Source organism: Homo sapiens, chromosome 19, assembly GCF_000001405.40.
Source record: "Homo sapiens chromosome 19, GRCh38.p14 Primary Assembly".
In the NCBI taxonomy this organism is placed as follows: domain Eukaryota; kingdom Metazoa; phylum Chordata; class Mammalia; order Primates; family Hominidae; genus Homo; species Homo sapiens.
In genome coordinates this window covers 33,011,091-33,025,607 of record NC_000019.10, presented here as the reverse complement: position 1 = coordinate 33,025,607, position 14,517 = coordinate 33,011,091, and the positions used below count along the sequence as shown (strand labels likewise).

Here is a 14,517-nt window from a genome sequence, read left to right as displayed (position 1 = left end):
CTGTGCACTGTACTTACGTTGGACTGCAGTCTGTTTCCTAGCTGGAGGGACAAACTGAAACAGAAAAATCCAAATTAAAGTAACACACCAGTCTCCTTTTAAGGTTGTATTTCCTTTTTTTTTTTTGACACAGAGTCTCCCTCTCTTACCCAGGTTGGAGTGCAGTGGAGCGATCTCAGCTCACTGCAATCTCCACCTCCTGGGTTCAAGCGATTCTTGTGCCTCAGCCACCTGAGTAGCTGGGATTACAGGCACGCACCATCACACTTGGCTAATTGTTTTTTTTTTTTTTTTTTAAGTAGAGACAGGGTTTCATCATGTTGCCCAGGTTGGTCTTGAACTCCTGGTCTCAAGTAATCTGCCCGCCTTGGCCTCCCAAAGTGCTGGGATTACAGATGTGAGCCACTGTGCCTGGCCCCTAGGTCAATTTTGAAGGCACTCTATTGTATCATTCTCCATAACTCAATTTTGGAATCGATTTCTTCAACGTGAAAGCCAACAACACCATCCCTCAGAATTGCAATACATCTCCAAAAATGGAGATCTAACTATGAAAGAAATGCCCCTCTTGCCTTATGCCTGTAATCCCGGCTCTTCAGGAGGCTGAGGTGGGGGATCGCTTGAGCCCAGGAGTTCAAGGCCAGCCTGGGCAACATAGTGAAACCCCATCTCTACAAAAAATAGGAAAATTAGCCGGGCATGGTGGTGCACACCTGTAGTCTCAGCTACTCAGAAGGCTGAGGTGGGAAGATCACTTGAGCCAGGGAGGTCGAGACTGTAGTAATGGCAACAGAAAAAAGTCCTGTCTCAAAAAACACAAAAACAAAACAGAACCCTAAGCGAAATGCTTCTTTTTAAGGAGAAATAACTTTGAGACAGTTCAGAGAAGGGTTTACGTGCTTCTTCAGTGTGGGCATGAGACTTCTCAAAAAGTAGGTGGGCCCCAGGGGAAACTCAGTCGGAAAATAGCTCCCGGGATTTGGGAACCTTGAGTCACCTATGGAATGTGTGTTTCCTGGTGCTGGTCCTCTGCAGGGCACCGGGGTGGTTTCAGAGCTGGAGGGGAGGCGTCAGTGTGTGAAACCTCGCTGGCTCTTCCCTTTGTGACACCACATGCCTGGCTTACCTGTGGGCTCCTGTACGGTTTTTATTGTTTGTTTGTTTTATCTTTTTTTGAGATGGAGTCTCTCTCTGTCACCCAGGCTGGAGTGTAGTGGCATGATCTCGGCTCACCGCAACCTCCGCCTCCCAGGTTCAAGCAATCCTCCTGCCTCAGCCTCCTGAGTAGCTGGGACTACAGGCGCATGCCACCATGCCCAGCTAATTTTTTGTATTTTTAGTAGAGACGGGGTTTCACCATGTTGGCCAGGCTGGTCTCGAACTCCTGACCTCGTGATCCACCCACCTCAGCCTCCCAAAGTGCTGGGATTAGTCATGAGCCACCACACCCGGCCTCCTGTGCAGTTTTGAACGCCCAGTCAGTGCGACAGCTAATGGAAGGTTCTCCCAGCCTATGCTCTGGTGTTCAATTCCAGTGTTTGTCCAAAAGGTTCAGGTTCTGGAGGAGGCGAGATGGGGCCAAGGTTTGGGAATAAATGTCGGCTGTTCCACACTCGCATTTGCCATGCCGAAGAGCAGGGACGTGCAACACAGGGCTTCCCACAGAGTGAACCGAAGGTCTCTGGATTGGTCCCTGGGCTCTAGAGTGGCCAGTCACTGCCCTGTGTCATTGGGAAGAGGGAGAGCTGTGCAGATTCAACACGGCACCATGCATTTGGGTCCTGCGCTCTTCTGTTTTCTTTTTTTTCTTTTTTTTTTTTTTTGAGATGGAGTCTCACTGTGTCGCCCAGGCTGGAGTGCAGTGGCACGATCTCGGCTCACTGCAAGCTCTGCCTCCCGGGTTCACACCATTCTCCTGCCTCAGCCTCCCGAGTAGCTGGGACTAAAGGCGCCCGCCACCTTGCCTGGCTAATTTTTTGTATTTTTAGTAGAGACGGGGTTTCACCGTTAGCCAGGATGGTCTCGATCTCCTGACCTCGTGATCCGCCTGCCTCGGCCTCCCAAAGAGCTGGGATTACAGGTGTGAGCCACCATGCCTGGCCCTGTTTTCAAAGTAGATTGTTTCTTTCTTAGCATGGTTGATCTTTTTTTTTTCTTTTTTTTTTTTTTTCCTGAGATGGAGTCTCGCTCTTTTGCCCAGGCCTGGAGTGCAGTGGCGTGATCTTGGCTCACTGCTACCTCCACCTCCTGGTTGAAGTGATTCTCCTGCCTCAGCCTCCTGAGTAGCTGGGATTACAGGCACACATCACCATGCCCAGGTAGTTTTTGTATTTTTAGTAGAGACGGGGTTTTACCATGTTGGCCAGGCTGGTCTTGAACTCCTGACCTCAGGTGATCTACCCATTTCAGCCTCCTAAAGTGATGGGATTATGGGCGTGAGCCACTGCACCTGGCCTGCACTACTGTGTTTTCAAAGTAGACTGTTTCTTTCTTAGCATGGTTGATCTTTACAGTCTTCTAGGAGGTAGGTGGGAAAGAAATAACCTCATGGTGCAGATGGGAAAACTCAGGGAGGCCAGAAGGCACCTAGAGGGCGCTGTCATTGCCACATTGGGGCTGGGGTACCCTGGAGCTGGGACTCAGGACACTCGCTCCTCCTCTTCTCATTGCCTGGACAGCTGCAAACCTGGCTTCCTGCCCTGAGTAGCCTGGAGGAGCCTTCAGCAGGATCCGGCTTTCCATGCCCCCGGATGGGACTCACCTGGCTGTAGCACAGCTGCACTGCAGAGCCAGGTTCAGCTTACAGCTGCATTGTCCCCTCGCCCTGCCCAGCCTTCCTGGCCTTCTTGTGGGGCTGGGCTGAGCAGCCCAAGGAGGTCTCCTGTTACAGGTCAGGGAGCTAAATCCTTGTTTGCAAAACACAGCCTGAGCTTCATTCACTTCCTTCTGGCCCTGCCCCTAGGAATGTAGGCTCAGGGAGCACTCCCCAGGCGACCTGTGGTTACGGAGTGGTCAGCTGGGGGAGAGGAGGTGGAGGGTGTCTGACCCTGGGCTGGGAGGCAGGTGCATTTCGGTGTCAGATGGGGCTTCTGCCCTGACGGCATCTCCTGTGCCGGTGGTGGGACGCCTAGACACTTCCCAAAGAAGAGGCCCCTATGAACCCAGAGTTGCAAATGTGAGGGTATTGGAGAGCTTCCACAGCTGTGGGGCCCGCTGAGGGGGGCAGAGGAGGTGGGGGTGAGGAGCTGACAAAGGAGGCAGCAGGGTGGTGCACCCAGGTGGGAGCAGCAAGTGCACCAGGCACAGACCCTGGCACACAATAGACTCTCAGCACAGCTGCCGAAAGAAGCATTGAGACTGAGCTGGGCTCAGAGGCTCACGCCCGTCATCCCAGCACATTGGGAGGCCAAGGTGGGCGGATCGCTTGAGGTCAGAAGACCAGCCTAGCCAACGTGGTCAACATGGCGAAACCCCATTGCTACTAAAAAAATATACAAAAATTAGCTGGGTGTGGTGTCGTGTGCCTGTAATCCCAGTTACTCGGGGGGCTGAGGCAGGAGAATTGCTTGAACCCGAGAGGCAGAGGCTACAGTGAGCTGAGATTGCGCCATTGCACTCCAGCCTGGGCGACAGAACAAGAGTCTCTAAAAAAAATAATAATAAAATAAAAAAGGAACCATTGAGGCATTGAAACTGGAAGATAAATCAGTGTCAAGATGCCAGGGGCCTGATGTGTTAGGAGGGGTGGTCCAGCAGTCTTAGGGAGCGGGGTCAGTTTTAGAGCAGAGGGTGGGGCATGACCAGAGTCATCCTTATGGAAAATGAGCCTGTCAGCCAGGTGAGTACAGGATGGGGTAAGGAGGGGGCACACACCTGAGCTTGGGCTGCTGAGGGCAAGGCCGTGGGGTGCACAGGGGTCCGGTTGGGGGTGTTCATACATACCTTGTTGTGTTCCTCATAGGGAGGCATTTACGATTCCCCTGATTCCTCTTGGCCTGAAGGAAACGAAAGACGTCGACTTTGCAGTCGTCCTCAAGGTAAATCTCAAAGCCATGGGCACCAGACTCAGTGTTTAAAATGGAAATAGGCCATTTGCAGTGGCGCATGCCTGTAGTCCCAGTTACTTGGGAGGCTGAGGCAAGAGGATCGCTTGAGCCCAGGAACTGGAGGCTGCAGTGAGTTGTGATCATACAACTGCACTCCAGGCTGGGCAACAGAATGAGACCCTGTCTCCAAAAAAAAGAAAAAAAATGGAGATAGAGAAAATATGTATCCCTTGCAATGGCCTTAGGCTCAACAGGCAGAGTCAGTTGATATCTACAGAGTGACCCTGAGGCCCTTCTCAGCCAGCTACATGCATAATTTATATGTTTATTCCTGCCATATTTTTGTTGTTGCCTTTGATGGCTTCTGAAGCTCCTCCTGGGTCTTGGACAAGGCAGGTTGGAAACCCAGGAGGGCCTTTCCCAAGAGGCCAAGTCAAAGAGGGTCTGTAGTGGACATGCTTTGAAATTTAAAACTTATATCCTCTTTTATTAATAGTGTATTTTTTTCTTAAATCATATAACCAGTTTAGGTTATGTCTTTAGAAGAATAGCTAAAGTTTTTTCTCTAACATTTTATTATGAAAATTTCCAAACTTTTCAAAAAATTTTAAGAATTTTATAGCAAACTCCTGTGTACTCAATTCTTCCAAGAACATACTGCCAGCATTGCTTCCTGACATATTTGTCCATCTGCGCATTCTTGTGTCTGTTAGGTTGGTTTGAAGGTAATTGCAGTTTTTCCATTGAAAGTAATGGCTAAAGGCCGGGCACAGTGGCTCACGCCTGTAATCCCAGCACTTTGGGAGGCTGAAGCAGGCGGATCACTTGAGCTCAGGAGTTGAAGACCAGCCTGGCTAAAATGGTAAAACCCCTGTCTCTACTAAATGTACAGAAATTAGCTGGACGTGGTGGTGCACACCTGTAATCCCAGTTACTTGGGAGGCTGAGGCAGGTGAGTCGTTCGAACCTGGAAGGTGGAGGTGGAGGTTGCAGGGAGCCGAGATCACGCCACTGCCCTCCAGCCTGGGCGACAGAGTGAGATCCCATTTCAAAAAAAAAAAAAAAAATTAGCTGGGCATAGTGGCATATGCCTGTAATCCTAGTTACTCGAGAGGCTGAGGCACGAGAGAGTCGCTTGAACCCAGGAGGCAGAGGATGCAGTGAGCTGAGATTGTGCCACTGCACTCCAGCCTGGGCAGCAGTGAAACTGTGTCTCAAAAAAAAAAAAAAAAGAGAACGAAAGTAATGGCTATTATCAGTCTGTCTTATTTGTAATGCAATTTCAAAGGAAATCAAAGATGTCAATTCACTCCCCTTAAATATTTGAATAACCAGAGTCTTTGCTTGTGTGTCCCCCAGCCACATTCCTGGGTATCTGGACTCCTCTCCCATTTGCAGATCCTCATAAGCCCACCTGTGCCTGGCACTGTGCTGGGTGCCAGAGATGCCACAAGCCCTGCCTGCGGGGCCTTTGGGTCAGTGGGGGTTTCAAGTGGGAAGTGGAAGAGGTGCTTCAGTGGAGAACACAGGAGAGACCATGCCCCGATGCTGGGGCTGGGAGACCGTCCTGTGCCTGGAATACCCTCCTCTTCCTTCCCTCTTCAACTCCATCAGTTTGAGTTTTTAACCAGTCACCTCCAAATTCCATCAAGGAGGGGAAAGGGGATGAGGTGCAGGGTGGCCCAAGTTTGCGCCATGCAGCCCAGGCATTGGTTATAGGAATTAATCCTAGTATCATGAAAATTGCTTTGAAGAAATATTTTACGTTCTTTTTTTTTTTCTTTTTCTTTATTATTTTGAGACAGAGTCTCACTTTTTCACCCAGGCTGGCATGCAGTGGCATGATCTCGGCTCACTGCAACCCCTGCCTCCTGGGCTCAGGTGATCCTCCCACTTCAGCCTCCTGAGTAGCTGGTACTATAGGCGTGTGCCACCGTGCCTGGCTAATTGTTGCATTTTTCTTTCTTTCTTTCTTTTTTATTGAGATGGAATTTAGCTCTCGTTGCCCAGGCTAGAGTGCAATGGCGTGATCTCGGCTCACCGCAACCTTCACCTCCCAGGTTCAAGCGATTCTCCTGCCTCAGCCTTACGAGTAGCTGGGATTACAGGCATGTGCCACCATGCCTGGCTAATTATGTATTTTTAGCAGAGACGGGGTTTCTCCATGTTGGTCAGGTGGGTCTCGAACTCCTGACCACAGGTGATCCACCTGTCTTGGCCTTCCAAAGTGCTGGGATTACAGGCGTGAGCCACCATGCCTGGCTAATTTTTGTATTTTTCGTAAAGACAGAGTTTCCCACTGTTGCCCAGGCTGGTCTCAAACTCCTGGGTTCAAGCAGTCCTCCTGCCTTGGCCTCCCAAAGTGCTGGGATTATAGGCATGAGCCACTGTGCCTGGCTTATTTTACTTTCCATGATAATCCTCTTAATTGGCTCATCTTGGACTACTTTTAGTTTAGAAAAGAAAACATCTTATGACATTTTGACTATTACTATTTTTTTCTTTCTTTCTTTCTTTTTTTTTTTTTTTTGAGCTGGAGTTTCGCTCTTGTTGCCCAGGCTGGAGGGCAATGACGGCATCTCGGCTCACTGCAACCTCCGCCTCCCAGGTTCAAGTGATTCTCCTGCTTCAGCCTCCTGAGTAGGTGGGATTACAGGCACCCGCCATCATGCCTAGCTAATTTGTATTTTTAGTAGAGATGGGGTTTCACTATGTTGGCCAGGCTGGTCTCAAACTCGATCCACCCGCCTCGGCCTCCCAAAGTGCTGGGATTACAGGTGTGAGCCGCCGCTCCCGGCCAACTACTACTTTTAAAAGCAATTGGTTAATACTTTGGAAGCACTTGACGTTCATTCTCAGAGACAGTGAGTTGTTTGACATAAATAGAGGCCTTTTTGACTGCTGCCTTGTTTAAATCCTGTGAGTTTGGGGTTTATTTTGGAATTGGAGAAGGGAAGTTGGTATTCTGAATGTTTCAGGACTCAAGTTTACTGGAAAGTTTGTATTCTGGGTAGAAAGCAATGAAAACAATTCGGGAATTGCAGCTTTATGCCACACTGCCACAGCCTGCCTGAACTTTTACCTGAGACTTATGCCCAGATGCAATGGCTCATGCCTATAATCTTAGCACTTTGGGAGGCTGAGGCAAGAGGACAGCTTGAGGCCAGGAGTTTGAGACCAGCCTGGGCAACAGAATGAGACCTTGTCTCTCTCTCTCTCTCTCTTTTTTTTTTGAGACACAGTCTCACTCTGTTGCCCAGGCTGGAGTGCAATGGTGCGATCTCAGCTCACTGCAACCTCCACCTTCTGGGTTCAAGCGATTCTCCTTCCTCAGCCTCCTGAGTAGCTGGGACTACAGGCATGCACCACTATGGCCAACTAATTTTTGTGTGTGTATATATATATTTTTGAGATGAAGCCTCGCTCTGTTGCCCAGGCTAGAGTGCAGTGGCGTGATCTCGGCTCACTGCAACCTCCACCTCCTGGGTTCAAGCAATTCTCTGCCTCAGCCTCCTGAGTAGCTGGGGTTTCAGGCACCCACTACCACGCCCGGCTAATTTTTGTATTTTTAGTAGAGACGGGGTTTCACCATCCTGGCCAGGCTGATCTTGAACTCCTGACCTCATGATACACCTGCCTCAGGCTCTCAAAGTGCTGGGATTAGAGGCATGAGCCACCGTGCCAGGCTAATTTTTGTATTTTTAGTAGAGACAGGGTTTCACCATGTTGGCCAGGCTGATCTCGAACTCCTGACCTCAGGTGATCCGCCCACCTCGGCCTTCCAAAGTGCTGGGATTACAGGCGTCAACCACCATGGCCAGTCATCTCTCTCTCTCTTTTTTTTTTTTTTTTTTTTTTAAGAGATGGGGTCTCCTCACTATGATGCCCAGGCTGGTCTTGAACTCTCCTGGCCCCAAGTGATCTTCCTGCTTCCACCTCCAGTAAAAGTGCTGAGATTATAGATGTGAGCCACCACACCCAGCCGCATCTCTATTTTTATTTAAAATATATGTGTAATGTGTATATATATAAATGCAAAAATAGATGTGACTTGCCACTGGTCTGTGGGACTCAAAACAATCCACATGTCTAGAAATGTCTGTTGCTGCTGTTGTAGAAGTTTCTTTACGATTTAATTTGTCTGTTGCTTGGTGCTGTGCTACAAGAATGTAAGCATTTTTTTTTTTGAGATGGAGTTTCACTCTTGTTGCGCAGGCTGGAGTCCAATGGCACGATCTCAGCTCACTGCAACCTCTGCCTCCTGGGTTCAAGCGGTTCTCCTGCTTCATTCTCCCAAGTAGCTGGGATTACAGGCATGTGCCACCACACCTGGCTAATTTTTATTAGTAGAGACATGGTTTCACCATGTTGGCCAGGCTGGTCTTGAACTCATGACCTCAGATGATCCACCCGCCTCAGCCTCCCAAAGTGCTGGGATTACAGGTGTGAGCCACTGCATCCGGCCAAGAATGCAAGCATTTTAAAGGAAGAGTCTCTTGGAGAAACTTAGGAATTTTATAGGCATTTTTAAGGATTCAACTGGGTCATGTTCTGAATTCCACATTAAAGCAAATGAAAATATTCACATGTTGTGGACATGGCCAACTGCCATTCGGCACAGGCTTCCAACCATGTCATTTTAGCCTAAAAGAGACTCTACAAATGTCAGTCATATGAAAATGAGAACGTTTGACGGACTTTCTGTTGTATTTTTTCCCTTCCATATTTGATAGAAACACAGGTACTGCAGAAGTGGTTCAGCAGACTGAATTACGGCAGTTCCATTTCAAATCTGACTTGTGTGTCCGTGTGATGTTTTATAATCAGTGAAGCTTCACAGTGTGATTTTGTTTTATTTTATTTTATGTATCTATTTATTTAGAGAGGGAGTCTCACTCTGTTGCCCAGGCTGGAGTGCAGTGGCGCAATCTTGGCTCACTGCAACCTCTGCCTCCCAGGTTCAAGCGATTCTCCTGCTTCAGCCTCCTGAGTACCTAGGATTACAGGCACCCACCACCACACCCAGCTAATTTTTATATTTTTAGTAGAGACAGGGTTTCACCATGTTGTCCAGGCTGTTCTCGAACTCCTGACCTCAAGTGATCCACCCTCCTTGGCTTCCCAAAGTGTTGGGATTACAGGCGTGAGCCACAGCAGCTGGCCGATTTTGTTTTATTTTAAAGAAATAGGGCCAGGCACAGTGGCTCACACCTTTAGTCCCAGCTACTTGGGAGGTTGAGGTGGATTGCTTGAGCCCAAGAGGTCGAGGCTGCAGTCAGCTATGATTGAGCCCCTGCACTCCATCCTGGAAAACAGAATGATAACTTGTCTCATTTAAAAAAAAAAAAAATTTCGAATCAATGAAAGAAAATGAAATAACATCTGTTCTTCAGTAAAGTTTAACAGTTTTCTGCTTAATTATATTAATTTTATCCCTAGAAATGTACTTTTGTTGCTATTGTGAAAGGTATTATTTCTCTGTTAGGTTTTGTTTGTTTGTTTGTTTGTTTTTGAAACAGAGTCTCACTATGTTGCCCAGGCTGGAGTACAGTGGTACAATCTTGGCTCACTGCAACCTCTGCCCCCCAGGTCCAAGTGATTCTCCTACCTCAGCCTCCTGGGTAGCTGGGATTACAGGCACCTGCCACTATACCCAGCTAATTTTTTGTATTTTTAGTAGAGACAGGGTTTCACCTTGTTGGCCAGGCTGGTCTCAAACTCCTGACCTCAACTGATCCGCCCACCTCAGCCTTGAAAACTGCTGGGATTACAGATGTGAGCCACCACACCTGGCTGTCTGCTAAGTTTTTCTAATTGGTTATTGCTTGTATAAGAAAGGAAGAATATTGACTTTTCTTTTTTACTATTGACTTTCATGTGTTAAATTCTTTGCCACTTTATTGAATTCTTATTAATTTAGTAATGTTTCAGTTGATGCTATTGGGTTTTATAAACATGCTGTTACGTTGCAAAAAATTATTTTGATTGTTTCTTTCTAATATTTTATGTCTCTTATTTTTCTTAATGTGTGGGCTAGAGAATGTTTGGAATTAGGCTAAGTAATAACAGTGATGGTAGAAATTCTCATTTTGTCCCTAATGTTCACAGTGGGTTTCAGTTAGGATTTTTTTTTTTTTGAGGCGAAGTCTCGCTCTGTCATCCAAGCTGGAGTGCAATGGCTCAATCTCAGCTCACTGCAACCTCTGCCTCCTGGGCTCAAGCTATTCTCCTGCCTCAGCCTCCTGAGTAGCTGGGATTACAGGCACCTGCCAGCATGCCTGGTTAATTTTTGTATTTTTAGTAGAGACAGGGTTTCACCACGCTGGCCAGGCTGGTCTTGAACTCTTGGCCTCAAGTGATCCACCTGCCTTGGCCTCCCAAAGTGCTGAGATTACAGGTGTGAGCCACCGTGCCTGGCCAGTTAGATAATTTTTTTATCCCACTAAGTACGTTAATCTACCCTAGTTTACTAAGTTTCAAATTCAGGATCACATATAAAATTTAATCAAAATCCTCTTTGACTTTCATAAGATTGGAGTGCAGTGATGTGATCATGGCTCACTGCAGCCTCAACCTCCTGGGCTCAAGTGATCCTCCTCCTGCCTCAGCACGCCTGGCTAATTTTTTATTATTTGTAGAGATGGGGTTTCACTGTGTTGTCCATGCTGGTCTCAAACTCCTGGTCTCAAGTGATTCTCCCACCTTGGCCTCCCAAAGTGCTGGGATCACAGGCATGAGTTACTACACCTGACCCCTTTTAACCACCATGCCCAGCTATTTTATTTTTTTATTTTTTAAATTTTTAATAGAGTTGGGGTTTCACCATGTTGGCCAGGCTGGTCTGGAACACCTGACCTCAAGTGATCTACCTACCTCAGCCTCCCAAAGCACTGGGATTACAGGTGTGAGCCACCATACCCAGCCCATGGCCAAGTTTAAAGAAAAGAGGCATAGTCAGCTGGGTGCAGTGGCTCATGCCTGTAATCCCAACACTTTGGGAAGCTGAGGTGGGAGGATCACCTGAGGCCAGGAGTCCGAGACCAGCCTAGGCAACATAGGAAGACTCTGTCTTTATGAAAAATAACAATATTAGCTGAGTGTGGTGGTGCACACCTATAGTCCCCTCTCCTGGAGAGGCTGAAGTGGGAGGATGACTTGAGCCCGGGAGTTCAAGGCTGCAGTGAGCTATGATTGCACCATTGCACTCCACCCTGGACGACAGAGCAAGACCCTCATCTCTTAAAAAAAGAAAAAGAAGGCACAGCAAAGTTGTGTATTTAGTACAAATCCATTTTTGTAAGACAAGTGTTTGTCTGTTTGTGTGTCTGTATGTTGAACACACAAAAACAGGAGGAGCTTTAATGTAAAAGTTGTGTAAAGAGGTTACTCACAGTCACTTGGGAAGACATAATTGAGCGATCTATGTGATCACCTTTCTTGCAGCTTGGGGGAGCCAGCACTTGTAGGGGCGGGGGTGGGGCGACAGGGCAAAACCCCATCTCTATTAAAAAACACAAAAATGAAATTAGCTTGTGGCACGTGCCTGTGGTCCCAGCTACTTGGGAGGCTGAAGTAGGAGGATTGCTTCAGCCTGGAGAAGTTGAGGCTGCAGTGAGCCGCGATCGCACCACTGCACTCCAGCCGAGGCAACAAAGTGAGACCCTGCCTCAAAGATAAAATAAAATAAAATAAAATAAAGTAAAATAAAATAAAATGCCTTTATAACATGGTTAAGGGTCTTCTTGGCAAAGGAAACCTGTATCTGGAGACTGTTATTGACAGTCCTACCCTCAGGATCTGTGCTGGGAAACTTGTCCGGGTCCTGAGGGAGGCCCAGAATTGCAAGTCTGAGCCCCTGAATAGCTGCAGTGTTTGCAGTATAGTTGAATGTATAGGCCATAGACTGGTCTCGAACTCCTGGGCTCAAGTGATTTACCTGCCTGGTCTTCACAAAGTGCTGGGATTACAGACGTGAGCCACGATGCGCAGACACAAAGACATTTTTAAGCAAAAAATTTACTTCAACTCTCACTTTTACTGAAGCAGCACAACATTTAAAAACATAGGCGTGTGTTGCAGTGGCTCACACCTGTAATCCCAGCACTTTGGGAGGCTGAGGCAGATGGATTGCTTGAGCCCAGGAGTTTGAGACCAGCCTGGGCAATGTGGTGAAACCCCATCTCTACTAAAAATACAAAAATTAGCTGCGCATGGTGGCACATGCCTGTAATCCCAGCTACTTGGGAGGCTGAGGCACGAGAATCACTTGAGCCTGGGAGGTGGAGGTTGCAGTGAGCCGAGATCGCAAGATTGCACTCTAGCCTGGGCAACAGGAGTGAAACTCTGTTTTTTGTTTTTTGTTTTTGTTTTTTTAAAAAAAAACTATGGCCGGGCACGGTGGCTGACATCTGTAATCCCAGCACTTTGGGAGGGCGAGGTGGGGGGATCACCTGAGGTCAGAAGTTTGAGACCAGCCTGACCAACATGGTGAAACTCTGTCTCTACCAAAAATACAACAATTAGCCAGACATTGTGGTGGGCGCCTGTAATCCCAGCTCCTTGAGAGGCTGAGGAAGGAGAATTGCGTGAACCCGGGAGGCAGAGGTTGCAGTGAGCCGAGATTGTGCCACTGCACTCCAGCCTGGGCTACAAAGAGAGACTCCGTATTAAAAAAAACTACATAAATTAAGAAAATAAATTCCCCCACTTTGAAAATCACTATAAGTTTTTCTTTATTCTGCCTTTTTAAAAATGGGTTCACAATTGACATATTACTATTATGCACACATATGGTTTTCAGCCACACTTTATAACATCTGACCTCATTTTTCTTTAAGGATTTTATCCTGGAACATTACAGTGAAGATGGCTATTTATATGAAGATGAAATTGCAGATCTTATGGATCTGAGACAAGTAAGTTTTTGTGTGCAGCAGAGAGGGGAGGGTGGCTTTTCCGAGTCTTCAGGGAACCCCATTATTGCACGCTTGTGGTCTTAACAGAATCGCGGGTGGATAGAGGTGATGGTTGGGGGGTGCTGGAATCATCCATTCCACTTGCTGCATAAGAAAACTGTAGAAGGAGGCCAGGCGCGGTGGTTCATGCCTGTGTAATCCCAGCACTTTGGGGTGTGGAGGTGGGCGGATCACCTGAGGTCAGGAGTTCCAGACCATCCTGGCCAACATGGTGAAACCCTGTCTCTACTAAAAATACAAAAATTAGCTGGGCGTGGTGGTGCATGCTGGTAATTCCAGCACTTTGGGAGGCTGAAGCGGGTGGAACACCTGAGGTCAGAAGTTTGAGACCAGACTGGCCAACATGGCAAAACCCTGTTTCTACTAAAAATACAAAAACAAGCCAGGCATGGTGCTACACGCCTGTAATCCCAGCTACTCGGGAGGCTGAGGCAGGAGAATCACTTGAACCTGGTAGGTGGAAGTTACAGTGAGCCAAGATCGCACCACTGCACTCCAGCTTGGGTGGGTGACAGCAAGACTCTGTCTCAAAAAAAAAAAAAAAAAAAGAAGGAAAACCATAGAAGGGGAGAGCCCTGCCTCAGGGCTGGGACTGGATTCCAGGATTTCTGACTTCCTCCCAGGTTCTTTCCACCCCTCCCAGAGTTTACGATGCCAGTAGCGAGGTCATCATACTGCAGAAATAGTTACAGGCACCTGCTGGTATGTGCAGGGCACCTTCTGGGAAGGGCCATCAGCTGTGTCCTCCTCTGCTCATGCCCTCTTGGGTTCTTTTCCTTGCAGGCTTGTCGGACGCCTAGCCGGGATGAGGCCGGGGTGGAACTGCTGATGACATACTTCATCCAGCTGGGCTTTGTCGAGAGTCGATTCTTCCCGCCCACACGGCAGATGGGACTCCTGTTCACCTGGTAGGTGCTTGAGGTCTGCGCTGGCGCTTCACGTGTTATGGCAGCCACAATTTTGGAGCCTCAGCATCACAGACGCCCCTCTGCGGGTGCCCCTGTGCACCTCAGCCCCCTTTCCTATCTTGCATTTATCTGGGGAAGTCTCAAAAGATGTCAATACATTGGTATTTATTTATGAAGGTGATCCGAGGGGAGATGGCTCCAACAGACTGTGGCCTCTTGCTTCTCAGAACAAGCGAGCCAAGGAGAAGAGACATTTTTCTTGCTCGTTGTATCACTGGGGAAGCACGGGGGCTCTGAAGTGGAATTAGCCAGAAGCGAGATTCTTATCTCAGATTGGACAGGGGCATGCATGTGTATGTGTGAGTGAGAGAGAGAGAGAAAATCAGGTCTTATCCAGTGAGGCAAAAGCACCAAACAGAAATAGATCAGGTTTCTTTTGAAATGGGGTCTCACTGTGTTGCCCAGGCTAGTCTTGAATTCCTAGGCTCAGGTGATATTTCTGCTTCAGCCTCCTGAATAGCTGGGACTATAGGCATGAGCTACTCACTCAGCTTAGATCAGATTTAAAAAAAGGAAGTAGAGCATTTG

The 14,517-nt window shown here is 47.9% G+C and overlaps 1 protein-coding gene across 1 annotated transcript in view; it reads left to right on the top strand.

Annotated features, from left to right (window-relative positions):
• Positions 1-14,517, top strand: part of RHPN2 (rhophilin Rho GTPase binding protein 2) — an 86,297-nt gene that overhangs the window by 39,281 nt on the left and 32,499 nt on the right. Inside the window, exons 4-6 of the mRNA NM_033103.5 lie at positions 3,962-4,037; positions 12,884-12,961; positions 13,805-13,929. Of these exons, the coding sequence (NP_149094.3) occupies positions 3,962-4,037; positions 12,884-12,961; positions 13,805-13,929 (279 nt within the window). The remainder of the gene's footprint in view (positions 1-3,961; positions 4,038-12,883; positions 12,962-13,804; positions 13,930-14,517) is intronic.